At 40.6% G+C, this 18,641-nt stretch overlaps 1 protein-coding gene across 51 annotated transcripts in view, besides 1 other annotated feature; it reads left to right on the plus strand.

Moving 5' to 3' along the window:
• SPIDR (scaffold protein involved in DNA repair) overlaps positions 1 to 18,641 on the plus strand; it is a 475,429-nt gene that overhangs the window by 10,251 nt on the left and 446,537 nt on the right. For 32 of the 51 annotated variants that reach the window (NR_148202.1, NR_148205.1, NR_148204.1 and 29 more), the window contains exons 2-3: positions 8,734 to 8,889; positions 12,900 to 12,966. The exons of 1 other annotated variant lie outside the window; for it this stretch is intronic. Coding sequence is in view for 27 of the 50 variants with exons in the window: in XM_017013268.3 (XP_016868757.1) it covers positions 8,734 to 8,889; positions 12,900 to 12,966 (223 nt within the window). In the remaining 23 variants the exon portion in view is untranslated. Of the gene's footprint in view, positions 1 to 8,090; positions 8,309 to 8,733; positions 8,890 to 12,899; positions 12,967 to 16,944; positions 16,995 to 18,641 lie in introns of those variants that run through there. 18 more of the 51 variants (NM_001352935.1, NM_001282916.1, NM_001352936.1 and 15 more) reach the window with 6 other exon arrangements.
• Positions 8,341 to 8,400: an enhancer, noted in NCBI's record as "active region_27325". NCBI's record gives its function as "activates an Ori minimal core promoter by ATAC-STARR-seq in GM12878 lymphoblastoid cells {active_cell/tissue: GM12878}" and the evidence as "EXISTENCE:reporter gene assay evidence [ECO:0000049][PMID:35858748]".

Genomic DNA, 18,641 nt, shown 5'->3' on the forward strand with positions numbered 1-18,641 from the left:
ATATTTTCTTTTGCTACTTTCATAGTTTTTTCTCTGTTTTTCACCAGTTGACATGGTATGTTTAGGGTGGATCTCTTTAGATTTTATGCTATTTGGAGTTTTTAAGCTTCTTGGTTGTATGTTTCATTAAATTGAGGAAGCATTTTGGGCTTTGTTTCTTCAAATATTCTTTTTACCTCTGTCTCTCCTTCCTTCTGAGACTCTTATTATGCATATATTTGTGTGTCTGATGGTGTCCCACAGGTCTCTGAGGCTCTGTTCATTTTTCTTTACACTCTTTTTTTCCTGTTTCTCAGCTTGGATAATCTCATTTGTCTGATTTAAAGTTTGTGAATTCCTTTTTTTGCCAGGCCAAATCTGCTGTTGAGCTCCTCTGGTGCATTCTTCATTTCAGTTACTATAGTTTTCAACTCCTGAATTTCTGTTTGGTTCTGTCTTTTTATAATTTCTGTGTCTTTATTGATATTCGCTATTTGGTGAGGCATTTTTATAATTTTCTTCACTTTTTGGATATAGTTTCCTTTATTTCTTTGAATATATTTATAGTAAGTGATTTAAAGTCATTGTCTAGTGAGTCCAACTTCTGGCTCCTCTCAGGGACATTTTCTTTTGACTACATTTTTTCCTTATCATGCTTTCCTGTTTCTTCATGTGTGTTATAATTATTATTATTTTTTGAGACAGAGTCTCACCACGATGCCCAGGCTGGAGTGCAATGACATGATCTCAGCTCACTGCAGCCTCCACCTCCCGGGTTCAAGCTATTCACCTGCCTCAGCCTCCTGCCTCAGCCTCCTGAGTAGCTGGGATTACAAGCAGGCACCACCACGCTGGGCTAATTTTTGTATTTTTTTTTCTTTTTTTGAGATGGAGTCTCTCTCTGTTGCTCAGGCTGTAGTGCAATGGCACGATCTCGGTTCACTGCAACTTCTGCCTCCTGGGTTCAAGCGAGTCTCAGCCTCCTGAGTAGCTGGGATTACAGGTGCGCGCCACCACACCCGGCTAGTTTTTGTATTTTTAGTGAGATGAGCTTTCACCATGTTGGCCAGGCTGGTCTTGAACTCGTGGCCTCGGGTGATACACCTGCCTTGGCCTCCCAAAGTGCTGGGGTTATAGGCATGAGCCACGTCGCCTGGCCTATAATTTTTGCTTGAAAACTGGACGTTTTAAATAGTATGATTTGAAGTAATTCATATTAATTTCTGGATATTAAATTCTCCCATCCCCTCCCCAGGGTTTCTGTTTGTTGTTGGTGCTATAATTTTGTTTAATGATTTTCCTGGATGAATTTAATAAAGTTTGTGTTGCCTGTCGTGTGTAGCTAATGAAGACATTATGTGGTTAGTTTAGTTGTCTGTGGATTATTGGATAGAGATTACCCTAAATGCTTTGAGCCAGTAAGTCTGTCATCTTTTACGGAGGGACTCTGTTGAGACATATGCTTTGGCAATTTGTAATGCCAGTTTAACCTTCATTTCCTCCTTGGGCAGCGCCTCGAGATGATCCAGAGTTCAGAGGTTAGGGCCTTTTTCAGTTTTTTCCTGGGCACGTGCGTAGTGATGCAGGGTTTTTTGCTCCTTAGTTCAGCTAAAATCTGGGTTCTTATCTCACGATTAGGAGAAATTAGGCATGCGGACACATTGAAAGGTGAGGACAGCAGTATTTATGAAATCCCAAAGTGCTGGGATTATAGGCATGAGCCACCATGCCCATTTTAGTTTTCTTAATGGCTTCTTTAGGTATTATAATATACATATGTAACTTACCACAGTCTACATATGCAACATTTTACCACTTCAAATGAGTTACAGAAACTTGACTTTTCACTTAGGTACCCATAAAAAGGAAAAACAAACTGTTTTCCCCTCTTCTCTCATGCTTAACACAGTACACTTCTATGCCCAGATGTGTGGGGTGTTTTATCCTGACACCAAGCATCCAGTAGACACCAAGTGGGTATCCTATAATTTAATCCAATTTTGATGCTCTCTACCTGGAGATGGTGTGAGATCACGCAGGTTCAGGGCTCAGTCCCACGAGACTGGCCCCACTTCAGAGGTCAATTGCAAGTAGTAGGTTGTCACTCATATTTTTGATCAATTGAATATAAATAGGGATTCCCAAACCTTCCTCCTTAGGTTCGATTAATTTGCTATGTTGGCTCACATAAGTAAGGGAAATACTTACCTTTACTGATTTTTTATAAAGGTATTCAGTAGAAGCAGATGAACAGCCAGATGAAGAGATGGATAGAGCAAGACATGGACATTATAAAGGAATTCAATAGAAGCACATGAACGGCCAGATGAAGAGATGGATAGAGTAAGACATGAACAGGTTGAGGGCAGGTGGCGTGCTTGAAGCTTCCACGCCCTCTCTGGGCGAACCACCCTCCCAGTACCTCTGTATGTTCAGCAACTGAGAAGCTCATCGAATCTTGTTAAAGAGTTGTTTTTTTTTTTTAATTGTTCATTTTTTTTTTTGAGATACAGTCTTGCTCTGTCACCCAGGCTGGAGTGCAGTAGCTTGACCTTGACTTACCGCAGCTTTGACCTCCCAGGCTCAGGTTATCCTCCTACCGCAGCCTCCTGAGCAGCTGGGACCACAGGTTCATGCCACCACATCTGGCTAATTTTTGTATTTTTTGTAGAAATGAGGTCTTGCTGTGTTGCACAGGCTGGTCTCAAATTCAGGCTCAAGAGATCCTCCATCCTCGACCTCCCTAAGTGTTGGGATTAAAGGAGTAAGCCATGGTTCTGGCTGTTAAAGTGTTTTTATAAAGCTTGATCTCCAGCCTCCTCCTTTCTCAGAGGTTACTGAGTGGAGCTGAAAATACCAACCCACTAATCCTCTAATCACTTGGCCTTTTTGCTAAGTGACCCCATTCTCAAGTTATCTAGGGGCCCCACCCTAAGTGACCTCAGTAGGATAAACTTAGGAGTTATCAAAGGAATTCTTTATAAATAACAAAAGATATTCCTATCACTTAGGAAATTGCAAGAGTTGTAGGAGTTCTATGGCAGGAACCTGGGATAATGACCAGATATATTTCATGTTATAGCACAGTATCTTTACCTTCCCTATTTAAAAATACTGTATTGTCAAATGATTTTACAATTTTTTCTTCAATCATTGATTATGATTTATTTATAAAGTTCATGAGGAACATTTTTGTTGCACCAGAGTAAATAATTGCTACATATTTTCCTTTGCATTGTTCTCCATCTCCCTGTACTTAAATTTTTAAATTCTATGTTCATTACTAGTCAGATAAGATGTCTTCTTTCCTTCTCGTTGAGATACATTCTCCAGTATCTTCCTAATAAAGGAATCACGAGAAGTAAAATTGTAAAGTTCCTGCACGTTTTAAAAATATCTTTTATTTTTTCCCCTTGATTGATAGTTTGGCCGGGAATAGAAGTCTAGATTGGAATTCAGTTTTCCTCAGAATTTTTTTTTTTTTTCCCGAGATGGAGTCTCGCTCTATCACCCATGCTAGAGTCCAGTTGCGCGATTTTGGCTCACTGCAACCTCCGCCTCCTGGGTTCAAGCAATTTTCTGCCTCAGCCTCCTGAGTAGCTGTGATTACAGGCACCGCGACCACACCCGGCTAATTTTTGTATTTTTAGTAGAGACGGGTTTTCACCAGATTGGCCAGGCTGGCCTTGAACTCCTGACCTTGTGATCCACCCACCTCAGCCTCCCAAAGTGCTGGGATTACAGGCATGAGCCACCGCGCCCGGCCTAGAACAGTTTTAAACAATTGTTCTCATTACTAATCATAAAAATAATACACAGCTATTGTGGAGCTGCTAGAAAATAAAGACTACAATAGAAAATACCCCCATAGGCCCAGCGCGGTGGCTCACGCCTGTAATCCCAGCACTTTGGGAGGCCGAGGCGGGTGGATCACGAGGTCAGGAGATCGAGACCATCCTGGCTAACATGGTGAAACCCGGTCTCTACTGAAAATACAAAAAATTAGCCGCGCGTGGTGGGGGGCGCCTGTAGTCCCAGCTACTTGGGAGGCTGAGGCAGGAGAATGGTGTGAACCCGGGAGGTGGAGCTTGCAGTGAGCCCAGATTGCGCCACTGCACTCCAGCCTGGGGGAGAGAGCGAGACTCAGTCTCAAAAAAAAAAGAAAAAAGAAAATATCCCCCATAAATCTATAAAACCTATAATCAGCATAACATAAGCATTTTGATAATATAAGCATTTGGATCTGTTTCCTGCCCGTTTTTATACAACTGCTTATATATATTTAAAAATTTGTACATTATTTTTTTTAAATTTAATGTCATTAGTTTTACATGGGTGTGTTGTTTGAAAAATAGGTAAGAATAATATTTTCCATTCTGATAAAATCAAAAGCAGATTATGTATTCTTATGTGTAAATAAGATTTCCATTGGCGTTGCATATATTTTTTAGTTTCCATTCTTAAAATGAGTGGAACCTCTGTGTAAAGAAAATATTTTATTATTTTAAATAAAAGCAGAATACAACACTGTCTATTTTACAGTTATAACTGGAAGATAATGTCTAATCAGAAGACTCTAATAGGGTAGGAAAACATTAAAATAGTTATGTCACGTTGGTAGCTGGGTACCCCATACGTAATTTTGTATTTAGTAAATATTTTTGGAATGTGGATGAATAGACCATGATGACTTTTTTCTATTTATTTTTTTAAATTTTCTGTGCGTGTGTTTTTTGTTTTTGTTTTTGTTTTTTGTTGGTTTGTTTGAGACTGGAACTTATTTCTGTTGCCCCAGCTGGAGTGCAGTGGTGCGATCACAGCTCACTGCAGCCTGGGTCTCCTGTGCTCAAGCAATCCTCTTGCCTCAGACCCCTGAGTAGCTGGGACTACAGGAACACGCCACCAGGCCTGGCTAATTTTTGTATTTCTTTTTTAGACAGATGGAGTTTTGCCATGTTCCCCAGGCTGGTCTCAAACTCCGGGGCTCAAGTGATCTGCCTGCGTTGGCCTCCCAAAGTGCTGGGGTTACAGGCATGAGCCACCATGCCTTGCCTGTTATAATGTTAAGAGAATAAATAAGGTGTAATTTCTGTAAATATTTAGACACACATGAATAATTTATTTGAAAGTTACCTGTCCAGTTTGTATAGCTCTAGATATATTCTGTACTTGTTAAATGCTATGACCAAAGAAAAGCAGTATACAATATCGCTTGTCCAAGTGCTAGTTTATTTATGGAAAAAAGCGAAACCTACTTTGTGCCTGAGTTTTGTATGTACTTTTACCAAGATCTTGAAAATATTTCTCTTTGTACATTACCCTGTAAGAACTTCCTTATTTCAAACCAGTTTATTGAATTTCATGTTCAGTTGTCATTTACATATTATTAAAATGTAGGTAACAAATATACTTGTACATCTATAATGTGGACAAATACAGTAACCAAGGGGAAACAAAATAAAAAACTGAAGAAAAAAATAATCAAAGGGAAAACAATTTTGATGGAAAGGCTAGTAAAGAATTTGCAGTGGTTGGAAAAATAAATAAGATATTCAAATGGATAACTCTATAAGGCTGCTGGAGAAGGGAGTGAGCAAGCTAGATGGCGTCAAGGTGAGGGAGAGATTTTTATGGTGTGTAGTGTTAGAGACTTGAACATGATTGAATGGTGGACTTAATGATAGAACTGGTTAAAGTGGAGGGGATTGGAATCCTGATTGCTGTGTCTCATGATCAGCACCCTCTTCTTCTGTTCAGGATTTCCTTTTTACAGCTTCAAACCACTGGAATGTAAGGCATTATGAGTTTCTTCCTCAGCCTTTTTTTTTTTTTTTTTTCGAGACAGAGTTTCACTCTTGTTTCCCAGGCTGGAGTGCAATGGCACAATCTTGGCTCACCGCAACTGCCGCCTCCCAGGTTCAAGCGATTCTCCTGCCTCAGCCTCCCGAGTAGCTGGGATTACAGGCATGCGCCACCACGCCTGGCTAATTTTGTATTTTTAGTAGAGACGGGGTTTCTCCATGTTGGTCAGGCTGGTCTCGAACTCCCGATCTCAGGTGATCTGTCCACCTTGGCCTCCCAAAGTGCTGGGATTACAGGCGTGAGCCACCGCGCCTGGCCCTGTTTTAGTTTTGGGTATATACCGAGCAGTGGCATTGCTAGATCTTGGTGGTTTTATTTTATTTTATTTTAATTTATGTTATGTTTGTTATGTTATGTTATGTTATGTTATGTTATGTTATGTTATGTTATGTTATGTTATGTTATGTTATTTTAGAGACAGAGTCTTGCTGTGTTGCCCAGGCTTCAGAACTGTGGCGTGATTATAGCTTACTGCAGCCTCAAACTCCTGGGCTCAAGCGATTGTCTCGCTTCAGCCTCCTGAGTAGCTGGGACCACAGATGAACATTCCCACCCCTGCTAATTTTTTTTTTTTTAGGGACTTGCTATGTTTCCCAGACTGGTCTTGAACTCCTGGGCTCAAGTAGTCCTCCTGCCTTGGTCTCCTAAAGTGCTGGGATTACAGGTGTGACCCATTGTGCCCTACCCTGTGTTTAACCTCTTTTTTTTTTTTTTTTTTTTTTGAGACAGAGTCTCGCCTTGTTGCCCAGGCTGGAGTGCAAGTGGCTCAAACTTGGCTCACTGCAACCTCCGCCTCCTGGGTTCAAGCAATTCTCCTGCCTCAGCCTCCCGAGTAGCTGGGACTACAGGCGCACACCACCATTCCCGGCTAATTTTTTGCATTTTTGGTAGAGATAGGTTTTCACCATGTTGGTCAGGCTGGTCTTAACTCCTGACTTTGTGATTCGCCCGCCTTGGCCTCCCAGAGTGCTGGGATTACAGGCATGAGCCACCGTGCCCAGCTGTGTTTAACTTTTGAGGCTCTACCAAATAATTTTTAACAACTGCAACGTTTTACTTTTCCACCAGCCATGCACAAAAGTTATAATTGCTACACATCCTTGGCAGTGCTTGTCATTTTCTTTCTCTTTTTTTTTTTTTTTTTATTAATAGCCATTCTGGTGGGTGTGAAGTGGCATATCATTGTAGTTTCTTGCTTTTTGTTTTTGGAGATAGGATCTCACTCTGCCACTGAGGCTGGAATTCAGTGGCACAATCAGTGATGCAGCCTTGACCTTCCAGGCTCAAGTGATCCTCCCACCCCAGCCTCTTGAATAGCTGGGACTATAGGCACATGCCACCACACCCAGCTATTTTTTTTTTTTTTCAAAGACAGGATCTTGCTCTGTCACCCAGGCTGGAATGCAGTGGTGCAATCATGGCTCACTGCAGCCTTGACCTCCTGGGCTCAAGCAATCCTCCTACCACAGCCTCCCAAGTTGCTGGAACTACAGGCACATGCCACCATGCCTGGCTAATTCTAAAAAAAATTTGTAGACATGGGGTCTCACGACGTTGCCTAGGCTGCTGACTAATTTTTCTAAGGACAGTAATCACATTTGTGGGGCCTCTGGTTTCATGTTCTAGTCACCTCCAAAGGCCTCATCTCTTTTTTTTTGAGATAGAGTCTTGCTCTGTCACCAGGCTGGAGTGCAGTGGCAGGCTCTCGGCTCATTGCAACCTTTGCCTTCCGGGGTCAAGCGATTGTCCTGCCCCAGCTTCCTGAGTAGCTAGGACTACAGGTGCATGCCACCACGCCTAGCTAATTGTTTTTCCCTAATAATAATTATACGGCATTTAGCTTTTATACCTTCCTGTTGCTTATTTTTATGTCTGTGTCTTCTGAAATGATAGAAGGAAGCAGGATTCAGGATAGCTTTTATTTTTCTTTTTTTAAGGACGTGGCCTCTCACTGTGTTGCCCGGCTTGAAGTGCAGTGGTGCAGTCAGCTCACTGCAGCCTCAAACTCCTGGGCTCAAGCGATCCTCCTGGTTCAGCCTCCTGAGTAGCTGGAACTACAGTCGTGTGCCACCATGCCCAGCTCACTAAAAAGTTTTTTTTTTTTTTTTAGAAATGGGGTCTTGCTATGTTGCCCAGGCTGGTCTTGAACCTCTGGGCTCATGGAATCCTCCTGCCTTGGCCTCCCAAAGTGTTGGGATTACAGGTGTGAGCCATGGCACCCGGCCCAGCATAGCTTTTATACCTTGTGTTGTTTTCATGGGTCTTGTAAAAATATGGCCACTTGTGTATTTGTCTTGTAGATTCTCCCTGACTCTGCTCATCTGGACCTTTTCTGTGTGTCTGCCACCCCTGTGCTGCTGAGTGGATTCCACTTCCAGTACTTTCTCAGTGACGGGTCCAGAAGGGAGTCCAGGGTGACCAGTTTCAGGTGGCCCAGGCTGCTCTCATCTCTTCACATCTTCTTACGGTAGAGCCCCTGCTCTCACCTAGTTTCAGGCGCTCTTCTCAGTTCTATCAGACACTGTTCTCAGATCTGTTGCTTGCTTTGCTTCCTAGTGAGCACTGATGTCTAGGTTCTCAGGGGGCCTCCTTGACTCTCTTACTTTCCTTGGCTTCTTTCCTTTCAGGTACTGATACCATGCCAGACTTTGGAGGGTTGGTGGTTTGTCTTTACCCACTTGTGTTTGGAGTTTGCTGATTAATTGTGTTTCTATGTTTTTGGCTTTGCTGTCCGGTTGCTCTTTATGTGAAGATTTAGAGACATTCAAAAACTATACCTTTACTGATGCCACTTCTAGGTTTTCAGATTGTAAATTGTGAACTGAATGTCTATTTAATGAAGTTGATTTTGTTTTTTTGTTTCGATTTTTCTTTTAAAAATCATCTCCACAGAGAAAAAGGAGTTGGAATACAGAATGCCCATCCTTTCCAGGAGAAAGACCACTGCAGGTCAGAAGAGCAGGTCTCAGGACAGCAGGGGCAGCTGCCTCTCTCTCTGAAGCATGGCTCAGGTGTGGAGAAGGGTTTCAGAACACTTCTGGGAATCCGGTAAAGTATCTGTAGAATTGTTTTCCCTGAATGCCAAAGAGGAAATCCTGAGTGTTCAGAACATTGTAATTACATTTCATTGTAATTCCCTTTCTTATTCTTTCAGAACACTGTAACTGGTACACTCCTTTTCTTGCCTTTCATTCCTTGAATTCCTTTAATAATTGTGGCAAGTTAGTAAGTTAGTATTCACCTTTTTATTTTTTATTTTTTTTTTATTTTATTTATTTATTTATTTTTTTTGGAGACAGAGTCTCACTTTGTTGCCCAGGCTGGAGTACAGTGGCGCAATCATAGCTCATGGCATCCTTCAGGCTATCTTGCCTCAGCGTGTCAAATAGCTGGGACTACAGGTATGTGCCGCCGTGCCTGGCTAATTTTTTTTTTTTTTTGGAGACGGAGTCTCACTTTGTCACCCAGGCTGGAGTGCAGTGAGGCTATGTTGGCTCGCTGCAACCTCCGCCTCCCGGGTTCAAGCAATTCTCCTGCCTCAGCCTCTCGAATAGCTTGGATTACAGGTGCGTGCCACCACACTCGGCTGATTTTTGTATTTTTTGTAGAGACTGGGTTTCACCATGTTGGCCAGGCTGGTTTGGAACTCCTGACCTCAGGTAATCCACCCACCTTGGCCTCCAAAGTGCTGGGATTACAGGCGTGAGCCACTGTGCCCGGCTGCCTGGCTAATTTTTAAAAATCTTTCTGTAGAGACAGGGTCTTGCTGTGTTGCCTAGGCTGGTCTCTAACCCCTGGCTGCAAGTGATCCTCCCACCTCCGCCTCCCAGAGTGCCGGGATTATAGGTGTGAGCCCCCATGCCCAGCTCACACCTGAACCTCTTTAATCCATGCAGAACCTTTCTACTTCTTTGTTTGTAAATGAAGGATATTTACTAAGAATGTTCTCAGAAGATGAAACCATTGAGCATACTACTCTTCACAAGAAATGCATGTTTACTCTGGAGGCGTACTCTGGAGATATTGCAGGTTTGGTTCAGGACCAACACAATAAAGTGAATATTGCAATAAAGTGATCACATGAATTCTTTGGTTTCCCAGTGCCTATAAAAGTTATGTTTATATTATAATGTAGTCTGTTAAGTGCAATAGTATTATGTCTAAAAAAGCAATGTATATACCCTAATTTAAAAATACTTTGTTGCTAAAAAAAATGCTAACAATCATAGGAGCCTTCACCAAGGTATAATCTTTTTGCTGGGGGAGAGTCTTGCCTTGATGCTGATGGCTGCTGACTGATCAGATGGTTGGTGGTTGAAGATTGGGGTGGCTGTGGCAGTTTCCTAAAATAAGGCAAAAGTGAAGTTTACCACATCTATTTACTATTCCTTTCATGAAAGATTACTGAGTAGCGTGTGATGCTGGTAACATTTGACCAGTAATAGAACTTCTTTCAAAATTGGACTCAATCCTTCCAAAGCCTGACACTGCTTTATCAACTAAGTTTATAGGATATTCTAAATTACTTGTTATCACTTCAACAATGTTCACAGCATTTTCACCAGGAGTAGATTTTATCTCCAGAAACTACTTTATTTGTTCATTGGTAAGAAGTAACTCTTCATCCATTCAACTCGTAGGAAATTGCAGCAATTCAGTCATATCTTCAGGTTCTACTTCTAATTCTAGTTCTCTTGCTGTTTCTATCACATCAGTTTTTCTGCTGAAGTCTTGAACCCCTCAGTCATGCACAAGGGTTGGAATCAACTTCTTCCAAACTCCTGTTAATGCTGTATTTTGACCTTCTGTCATGAATCATGAATGTTCCTAATGGCACATAGAATGGTGAATATTTTTCTGAAAGTTTTCAGTTTACTTTGCCCAGATCCATCAGAGGAGTCACTATCTGTGGCAGCTACAGCCATATGACATGTATTTCTGAAATAATAAGATTTGAAAGTCAGAATCACCCCATGATCCATAGTCTGCAGAATGGAAGTGGTGTTAGCAGGTATGAAAACAGCATTCATCTCCTTGTACTTCTCCATCATAGCTCTTGGGTGACCAGGTGCATTGTCAATCAGCAGTAATAGTTTGAAAGAAATCTTTTTCTTCTGAGCAGATCTCAACAGTGGGCTTAAAGTATTACAGTAAAGAATGCTGTAAAGAGATGTGCTGTCATCCAGGCTTTGTTGTTACATTTATAGAGCACAGGCAGAGTAGATTTATCATAAGGGCGCTAGGATTTTCAGAATGATACATGAGCATTGGCTTCAACTTAATGTTACCAGTTGCATTAGCCCCTAATATGAGTATCAGTCTGTTCTTTGAAGCTTTGATGCCAAGCATTGACTTCTCTCTAGCTACGAAAGTCTTAAAGGGCATCATCTTCTAATATAAGGCTCTTTCATCTATATTGAAAGTCTGTTTTTTAGCGTAGCTACCTTCATCAGTGATCTTAACTAGATCTTCTGGATCACTTCCTGCATTACCTTGTACTTTTATGTTATGGAGATGATTTCTTAAACTTCATGAACCAACCTCTGCTAGCTTCAGACTTTTCTTCTCCAGCTTCTTCACCTCTCTCAGCCTTCATAGAATTGAAGAGAGTTAGGACCTTGCTCTGGATTCTGCTCTGGCTTAAGGGAATGTTATAGCTGATTCAATTTTCTATCCAGATTGCTAAAACTTTCTATTAGCAATAATGCTGTCTTACTTTCTTATCATTTGTGTATTCACTGGAGTAGCACTTTCAATTTCGTTCAAGAGCTTCCCTTTGTATTCACAACTGGCTTAACGGTTTGGCTCAAGAGGTCTAGCTTTTAGCCTATCTTAGTTTTTGTCATGCCTTCCTACCTAAGCTTAATCATTTCCAGCTTCTTTTTTCTTTTTCTTTTTTTTTTTGAGAGGGAGTCTGTCTCTGTCGCTCGGGGTGGAGTGCAATGGTGCGATATTGGCTCACTGCAACCTCCACCTCCCAGGTTCAGGTGATTCTCCTGCCTCAGCCTCCCGAGTAGCTGGGATTACAGGTGCCCGCCACCACGCCCAGCTAATTTTTGTATTTTTGGTAGAGATGGGGTTTCACCATGTGGGTCAGGCTGGTCTCGAACTCCTGATCTCAGGTGATTTACTTGCGTTGGCCTCCCAGAGTTCTGGGATTACAGGCGTGAGCCACTGTGCTCGGCCATTTCCAGCTTTTGATTTAAGGTGTGAGACATTCAGCTCTTCCTTTGCTTGAGCACTTTGAGGCGATTGTAAGGTTATTAAATTGACTTAATTTTAATATTGGTGTGTTGCAGAGAATAGGAGGCCTAAGGAGAAGGCAAGAGATGGAGGAACAGCTGGTTGGTGGAGCAGTCAGAACACACACAGCATTTATTAATTTTGCTCTCTTATATTGGTTTTGACTGTGGCACCCCAAATCAGTTACAGTAGTAATACCAGAGATCACTGATCACAGACCATCATAGCAGATTTAATAATAATGGTAAAGTTTGAAATCTTGGAATAATTATCAAAATATGACACAGAGACACAAGTTTATAGGTGAGCAGATGCTGTTGGAAAAATGGCATACAGAATTGCTTGACACAGGATTGCCAGAAATTTTCAATTTGTAAAAAAATGCTTTATCTATGAAGCACAATAAAACAAGGTATGCCTTTATATTCAGAATCTTTTGGCAATGAGATATTCTGGATAATTTTTGTGTTTGTGGTAACTTACAGAGTAATGCTATTACAAATTCAAGATAATTTGGGTATGAGTAGTAATGAGTACCTCATAGGCAGTTGGAGTCACATGTATGAGCAGATATTACACTGAATGTTAATGGGAAACGTTTTGGTCAGTCAGATCTCTTTAGATTCAGGAAAAATAGAATGAATTTATAAATATATAAGGAGTACATGCTTTGGGATTACTGAAATTGGTGAATTGGTAAAGGAAATCAGAGAAGAATATGTTAAGGAGAGTGTAGTTTAAGATTTTGAATATTTTATAAAAGTTTTTTTTTAGCATTTGTCACATAAATTCCATGATTATTATTTTGCCTACAGTCATTAACAGCTGAAGAGAAGACGATTACAGAAAAGCACCTTGAATTATGCCCTAGACCCAAGCAAGGTAACTATTTTGTTGATTTCTTGACAGAGAAGATATAAGACTAATAAATCCTTCTGTGATTATTTTAAAAATTTGCTGTTTTAAAAAAGTGACATGGTTTGGGTAGACTATATTCATAGTTAAAAAACATCAAGATAAGGTAAAAAGATATTTTTGAGAACTTTGTCTGTCATCGCTGTCACCGTCTACCCCATTTCTCCTGCCTGCCTACAGATAACTAACATTTTTTGTGTGTCCTTCCTAAGTTCATTTTTATCACAGAGCCCAGTAGGTTAGCTCATGCTCATAGCTCCAGGGTTTTGTTTGTTTGTTTGTTTGTTTGTTTGTTTTTAATCTGATTTGGGAAAGAAATGTGACCTATGCCATAAGAACTATACTGCTTCAGGCTCTGAAATTCTTTCTTGATGAATTAGGGAACTTTCAATAAGTAGTAGAAAACTCTGTTCAAACACTAGAGTATTTGAATAAATGAGGTTGAATTTGTCTCCTGCAGCAGGACATCCACAGGGCTAGATTCTTTCTGAATTCTGTAGCCTGAGTGTGGAATTGGTTCTCATGGTCAGGAGGTGTTGGCTGAATTCCACAGGCTGAATTCTTGGAAGAGTGTAGGTGCTGAGGATTTTCGCCAAGTCAGCTTTGCCTTTCCTTTGGGAAGGAATGCGCTTCCCAGTACCTCTACCTTTGACTAGAACCTGTTACAAACGGTCACCTCCACTAAAGATACTTTAGTGAAATTAAGGATTTTTAGATAGGTATGTTGCTGCTAAAGAAAACTGGGGTTATTAGTAATGAAGAAGGGGTGGATATCAGGTAGGCCGCTGGTTCTCCTGCCATAGGCAGTCAGCCCCGCTGTGGGTGTGTAGGAAGAGTGAGGGCTTGTGACTTCCGGGATCTTGCTGTGTCCTGGCTCTCTAATCTTTGAAAACTAAGCTAAACATTCGCAGTCTGTTTTGTATCTGGAGAATGGGCATAATCATTGGGTTATCATGAATATTAAGTGAGCTAAAAATAGTAGATTAAATGCCTAATTAAAGGTGCTTCAGTAGGTACTTGATTGATGACAGCAGTTGCTCATATGTCTGATGACAGAAGGAGCTATGTGAAAGCCTATTCAGAGTTCTACAGAGTGAACTAACTTCCTGTGACATTCTAAACCATGTTACTATTTCAAGTGACATGGAAGAGGTTCTATGCAAATGAAAAATAAAATTTGCCAAAATGTTTCTTTAAAATTTATAAAGTGTTGCTTTATGAAGTAAACTAGTACACATCTTTTAAATTCTATAATCTTCTGATGGAATTGCAGAAGCTGTTGGCAGAGACAAGCCTCTGACCTTAGGCACACATTACAAAAGCATGTTCCTGATTCTGCTTCCCAGCTGTCATAAAAATACTACTTCCTCACCCAAAATGTAGTATAGAATTTTTATCTTGGAATTTTTGTTAATAGGATGTCTTAAACTAATACTTCAGTATCTGTTCTAGACCTCTCTCCTTGGCTTGTAGATGATTGCCTTCTTCCTCTCTCTCTTCCCCAGGTCTCTTCACATTGTCTTCTCTGTGCATGTCTGTCTTTGTGTCCAGATTTCACCTTATAAGGATTTCAGTCATCTTGGATTAAGGCCCACCCTAATGACCTTATTTGAATTTGATTACCTCTTTGAAGACCATGTCTTCAAATAAAGTCACATTCTGAGGTACAGAAGGTTAGGACTTCAACATTTGAATTTTGGTGGGGGGGGACACAGTTCAGCTCATAACACCAGGTGCTAGGACAGTGCCTAGCACACAGTGGGCACCCAGAAATGTTCAGTGTGGCTAATATTTATCCTACGGTTCCATTGGAATGAGCCTTGATATCAAGGACACCCTCTTTACAGCAAGTGAAATGAGTTACTAATCAATTCCTGGTAGTGATTTTAACTACCTAGTTGTGCAGTCAGGTGCCTATAATTCATGGGTTTATAAATCTAGAGTCCTGGTCTCTGAGGTTTTGAATGACATAACTAATGATTATCCTGTCTTTTAAATTAGATGGTACAGAAGCACCAGACAGTTACATATTTTCTTAGATACTCACACTAAACTAATGGTGAAAGCAACTGCAGGTCTCTCTGACTTGAGAGCTACGCATAATGGTTAAGAACATGGACTCAGAAGCTCACCTGCCTGGGTGTGCGTCTCAGGCACCACAGCTGCTGGCTGAAAAAAGGCATTACATTTGGGAAGTCCTTTCCAATGAATGACTCATAACATAGAAACTGTATGAATAAAGCTGGTAAATTCACCTAAACATAAAGGGAAAAACAGCATGGCCAAAATTACATATATAAGTCTGATAGGGTGGCATACGTCTGTAGTCCCAGTTACTTGGGAGGCTGTGGCAGGAAGATCACTTGAGCCCAGGAGTTTGGGGCTGCAGTGTGCTGTGATCATGCCTGTGTACAGCTGCTGCAGTCCATCCTGGGTGACATAGCAAGACCACATCGCTTACAAAAAATTACATGTACATACACAAAATTTAAAATTCAGAAAAACCAGGGAAAATACTGTGGCTCATGTCACAGACCAAGGCTGATCTTTCTAATAAAGAACCATCAGAACTTAATCTAGGGGGAAAAAGATAACTATTGCAAAAATAACGATTATGGAGGAACTGCTTTCAAAAAAGGAAATATAAATGATTTTCAAACCTATGAAAAGATGCTCAGCCTCAAGGCAGTGAGAGGTCATTTTTTTCTGATCAGATCATCCAGAATCTTAGTATATATCTTTCTGTTTGTTCTTTCATGTTCTTTTGAAGTCTTCTAAAAACATGTACTTTGGTTTTACATGTCTCTTAAGTATTGGGGGAACCCGCCCCCAATATTTCAACGTAGGTTCTTTGTATTTTCCCTAAGTGTCGGCCAGCTGAGAAATAAAGAGAAAGAGTACAAGGAGAGGAATTTTACAGCTGGGCCTCCAGGGGTGACATCACATAACAGTAGGACCGTGATGCCCACCTGAGCCACAAAACCAGCAGGTTTTTATTAAGGACTTCAAAAGGGGAGGGGGTGTACGAACAGGGAGTAGGTCACAAAGATCACATGCTTCAAAGGGCAAAAAGGAGAACAAAGATCACATGCTTCTGAGGCCAATAAAGATCACAAGGCAAAGGGCAAAGCAAAGATCACAAGGCAAAGGGCAAAGCAAAGATCACAAGGCAAAGGGCGAAATCAAAAACTCCTGATAAGGGTCTATGTTCAGCTGTGCACATATTGTCTTGATAAACATCTTAAACAACAGAAAACAGGGTTGGAGAGCAGAGAACTGGTCTGACCTCAAATTCACCAGGGTGGATTTTTTTTCCCCACCCTAATAAACCTGAGGGTACTGCAGGAGACCAGGGTGTATTTCAGTTCTTATCCCAACCGCATAAGACAGACACTCCCAGAGTGGCCGTTTATAGACCTCCCCCCAGGAATGCATTCCTTCCCCAGGGTATTAATTATTAATATTCCTTGCTGGGAAAAGAATTTAGCAATATCTTCCCTACTTGCATGTCCGTTTATAGGCTCTCTGCAAGAAGAAAAATATGGCTGTATTCTGCCTGACCCCAAAGGCCATCAGACCTTATGGTTGTTTTCCCTTGTTCCCTGAAAATCGCTGTTATTCTGTTCTTTTTCAAGGTGCACTGATTTCATATTGTTCAAACACACATTTTACAATCAATTTGTACAGTTTAACACGATAGTGGTCCTGAGGTGATGTACATTCTCAGTTTATGAAGATAACAGGATTAAGAGAGTAAAGACAGGCATAAGAAATTATAAAAGTATTATTTGGGGAATGATAAAGGTCCATATTAAAATGAAATCTTCACAATTTATGTTCAGAGATTGAAGTAAAGAACTTGTAAAAGTATTAATTTTGGGAACTGATATATGTCCATATTAAAATGAAATCTACATAATTTATGTTCCTCTGCGGTGGCTCCAGCTCGTCCCTCTGTTCGGGGTCCCTGACTTCCTGCAACACTTAAGTTTCTTGTAGGTATTTTATTGGTTTTTGCTACTGCTTTAAATTTGATTTCTGTATTGTAGTTTGTACCTTGCCACCTTTATTGGACTTCCTTATTAACGGTAGTAATTTTTCAGTTGGTTTCTTGACTTTTCCATGAATTCATTTCATAATTTGCAAATAGTGATAACTTCCTTCTTTTTTTTTTTTGAGATAATGTCTCACTCTGTCACCCAGGCTAGAGTACAGTGGTGTGATCTCTGCTCACTGCAACCTCTGCCTCCTGGGTTCAAGCAATTCTCTGCCTCAGTCTCCCGAGTAGCTGGGATTACAGGTGCCCACAACCATGCCTGGCTAATTTTTTGTATTTTTAGTAGAGATGGGGTTTCACCATCTTGGCCAGGCTGGTCTTGAACTTCTGACCTCGTGATCCACCCACCTCGGCCTCCCGAAGTCTAGGATTACAGGCGTGAGCCACCGCTCCCTGCTGATAACTTCCTTCTTGACTTATTTTTCAGATGCATAATAATGATAGAGATTGATAATGTCTTTTGCAAGTACTCAGTTTATTTTATTAGCTATTTAGATAGATATAGATTCTTAGAATATTCTGAATAGTTTATTTTTCCTTTTATAACGTGAACAATAGGCCACTTCAGTAATTCTAGATGTTTGTGGCACAAAGTAGTAAGTGTTCAGTAAATGTTGACTATTCCATGTTTTTGTGCCTTTGTAAGTACTGTTTTTTCAGACATCATCTTGTCAGTGAATCCTCTTTTCCTGATCGATGCAAAGTGGAACATTCCATTTTTTTTGTGCCACCATTATTCCATGACATACATCTGGTATATTGTTAGTTTTTTTCATGATTAGTGTTTCTTCCAGACCACACATATTCCTTGTGGGAAGGAGCTTTCTTTTCTTTTCTTTTTTAGAGATGGGATCTTACCCTGTCACTCGGGATGGAGTGCTGTGGTGCAGTCATAGCTCACTGCAGCCTCAAACATTTGCTCTTAAACTCGTCCTCCTGCTTCAGACTCCCAAGTAGCTGGGACTACAGGCATGTACCACTGTGCCCAGCTAATTTTTTAACTTTTTGTAGAGATTGGGTCTCACTGTGTTGCCTAGGCTGGAGTTTTTTTTGTTTCCTCATGGTTTACTGTATCAGAGGGGTTCTGTAAATATGTATCTAATGAAGCCTAGGTTTATTTTTTGTAAAACATGAATTTTATAAATATCTAATCTCTTAATTTCATAGTGTATTAAAATGTGCTTTGAAATATATCAAATACCATACTGCATAGGATAAGATATATATGTACATATATATGTTTTAGCATTATATTTACAATTATGAATATAAACAGAATAATTGATTTTTATTAGGTATATATTCCTTTTCTGACCAATATCAGAAAAGTTTGCTGTTGACTTTTGATTCTGCCAAGATGAAATAGCCCCATTCTGTCAGGTTTTCCACCTATCAGAATGGCTACAATGAAAAATAGTGACAATACAAAATGCTGGTGAGGTTGTGGAGAGACTGGATCACCAGTACATTGCAGGTGTGTAGTAAAATGGTACAGCCACTCTGGAGAACAGTCTGGCAGTTTCTTAAAGACTAAACATGCAATTACCATATAACCCAGCAAGTGCACCCTTAGGCATTTGTCCCA

The sequence above is a fragment of the Homo sapiens genome, chromosome 8 (assembly GCF_000001405.40).
Source record: "Homo sapiens chromosome 8, GRCh38.p14 Primary Assembly".
In the NCBI taxonomy this organism is placed as follows: domain Eukaryota; kingdom Metazoa; phylum Chordata; class Mammalia; order Primates; family Hominidae; genus Homo; species Homo sapiens.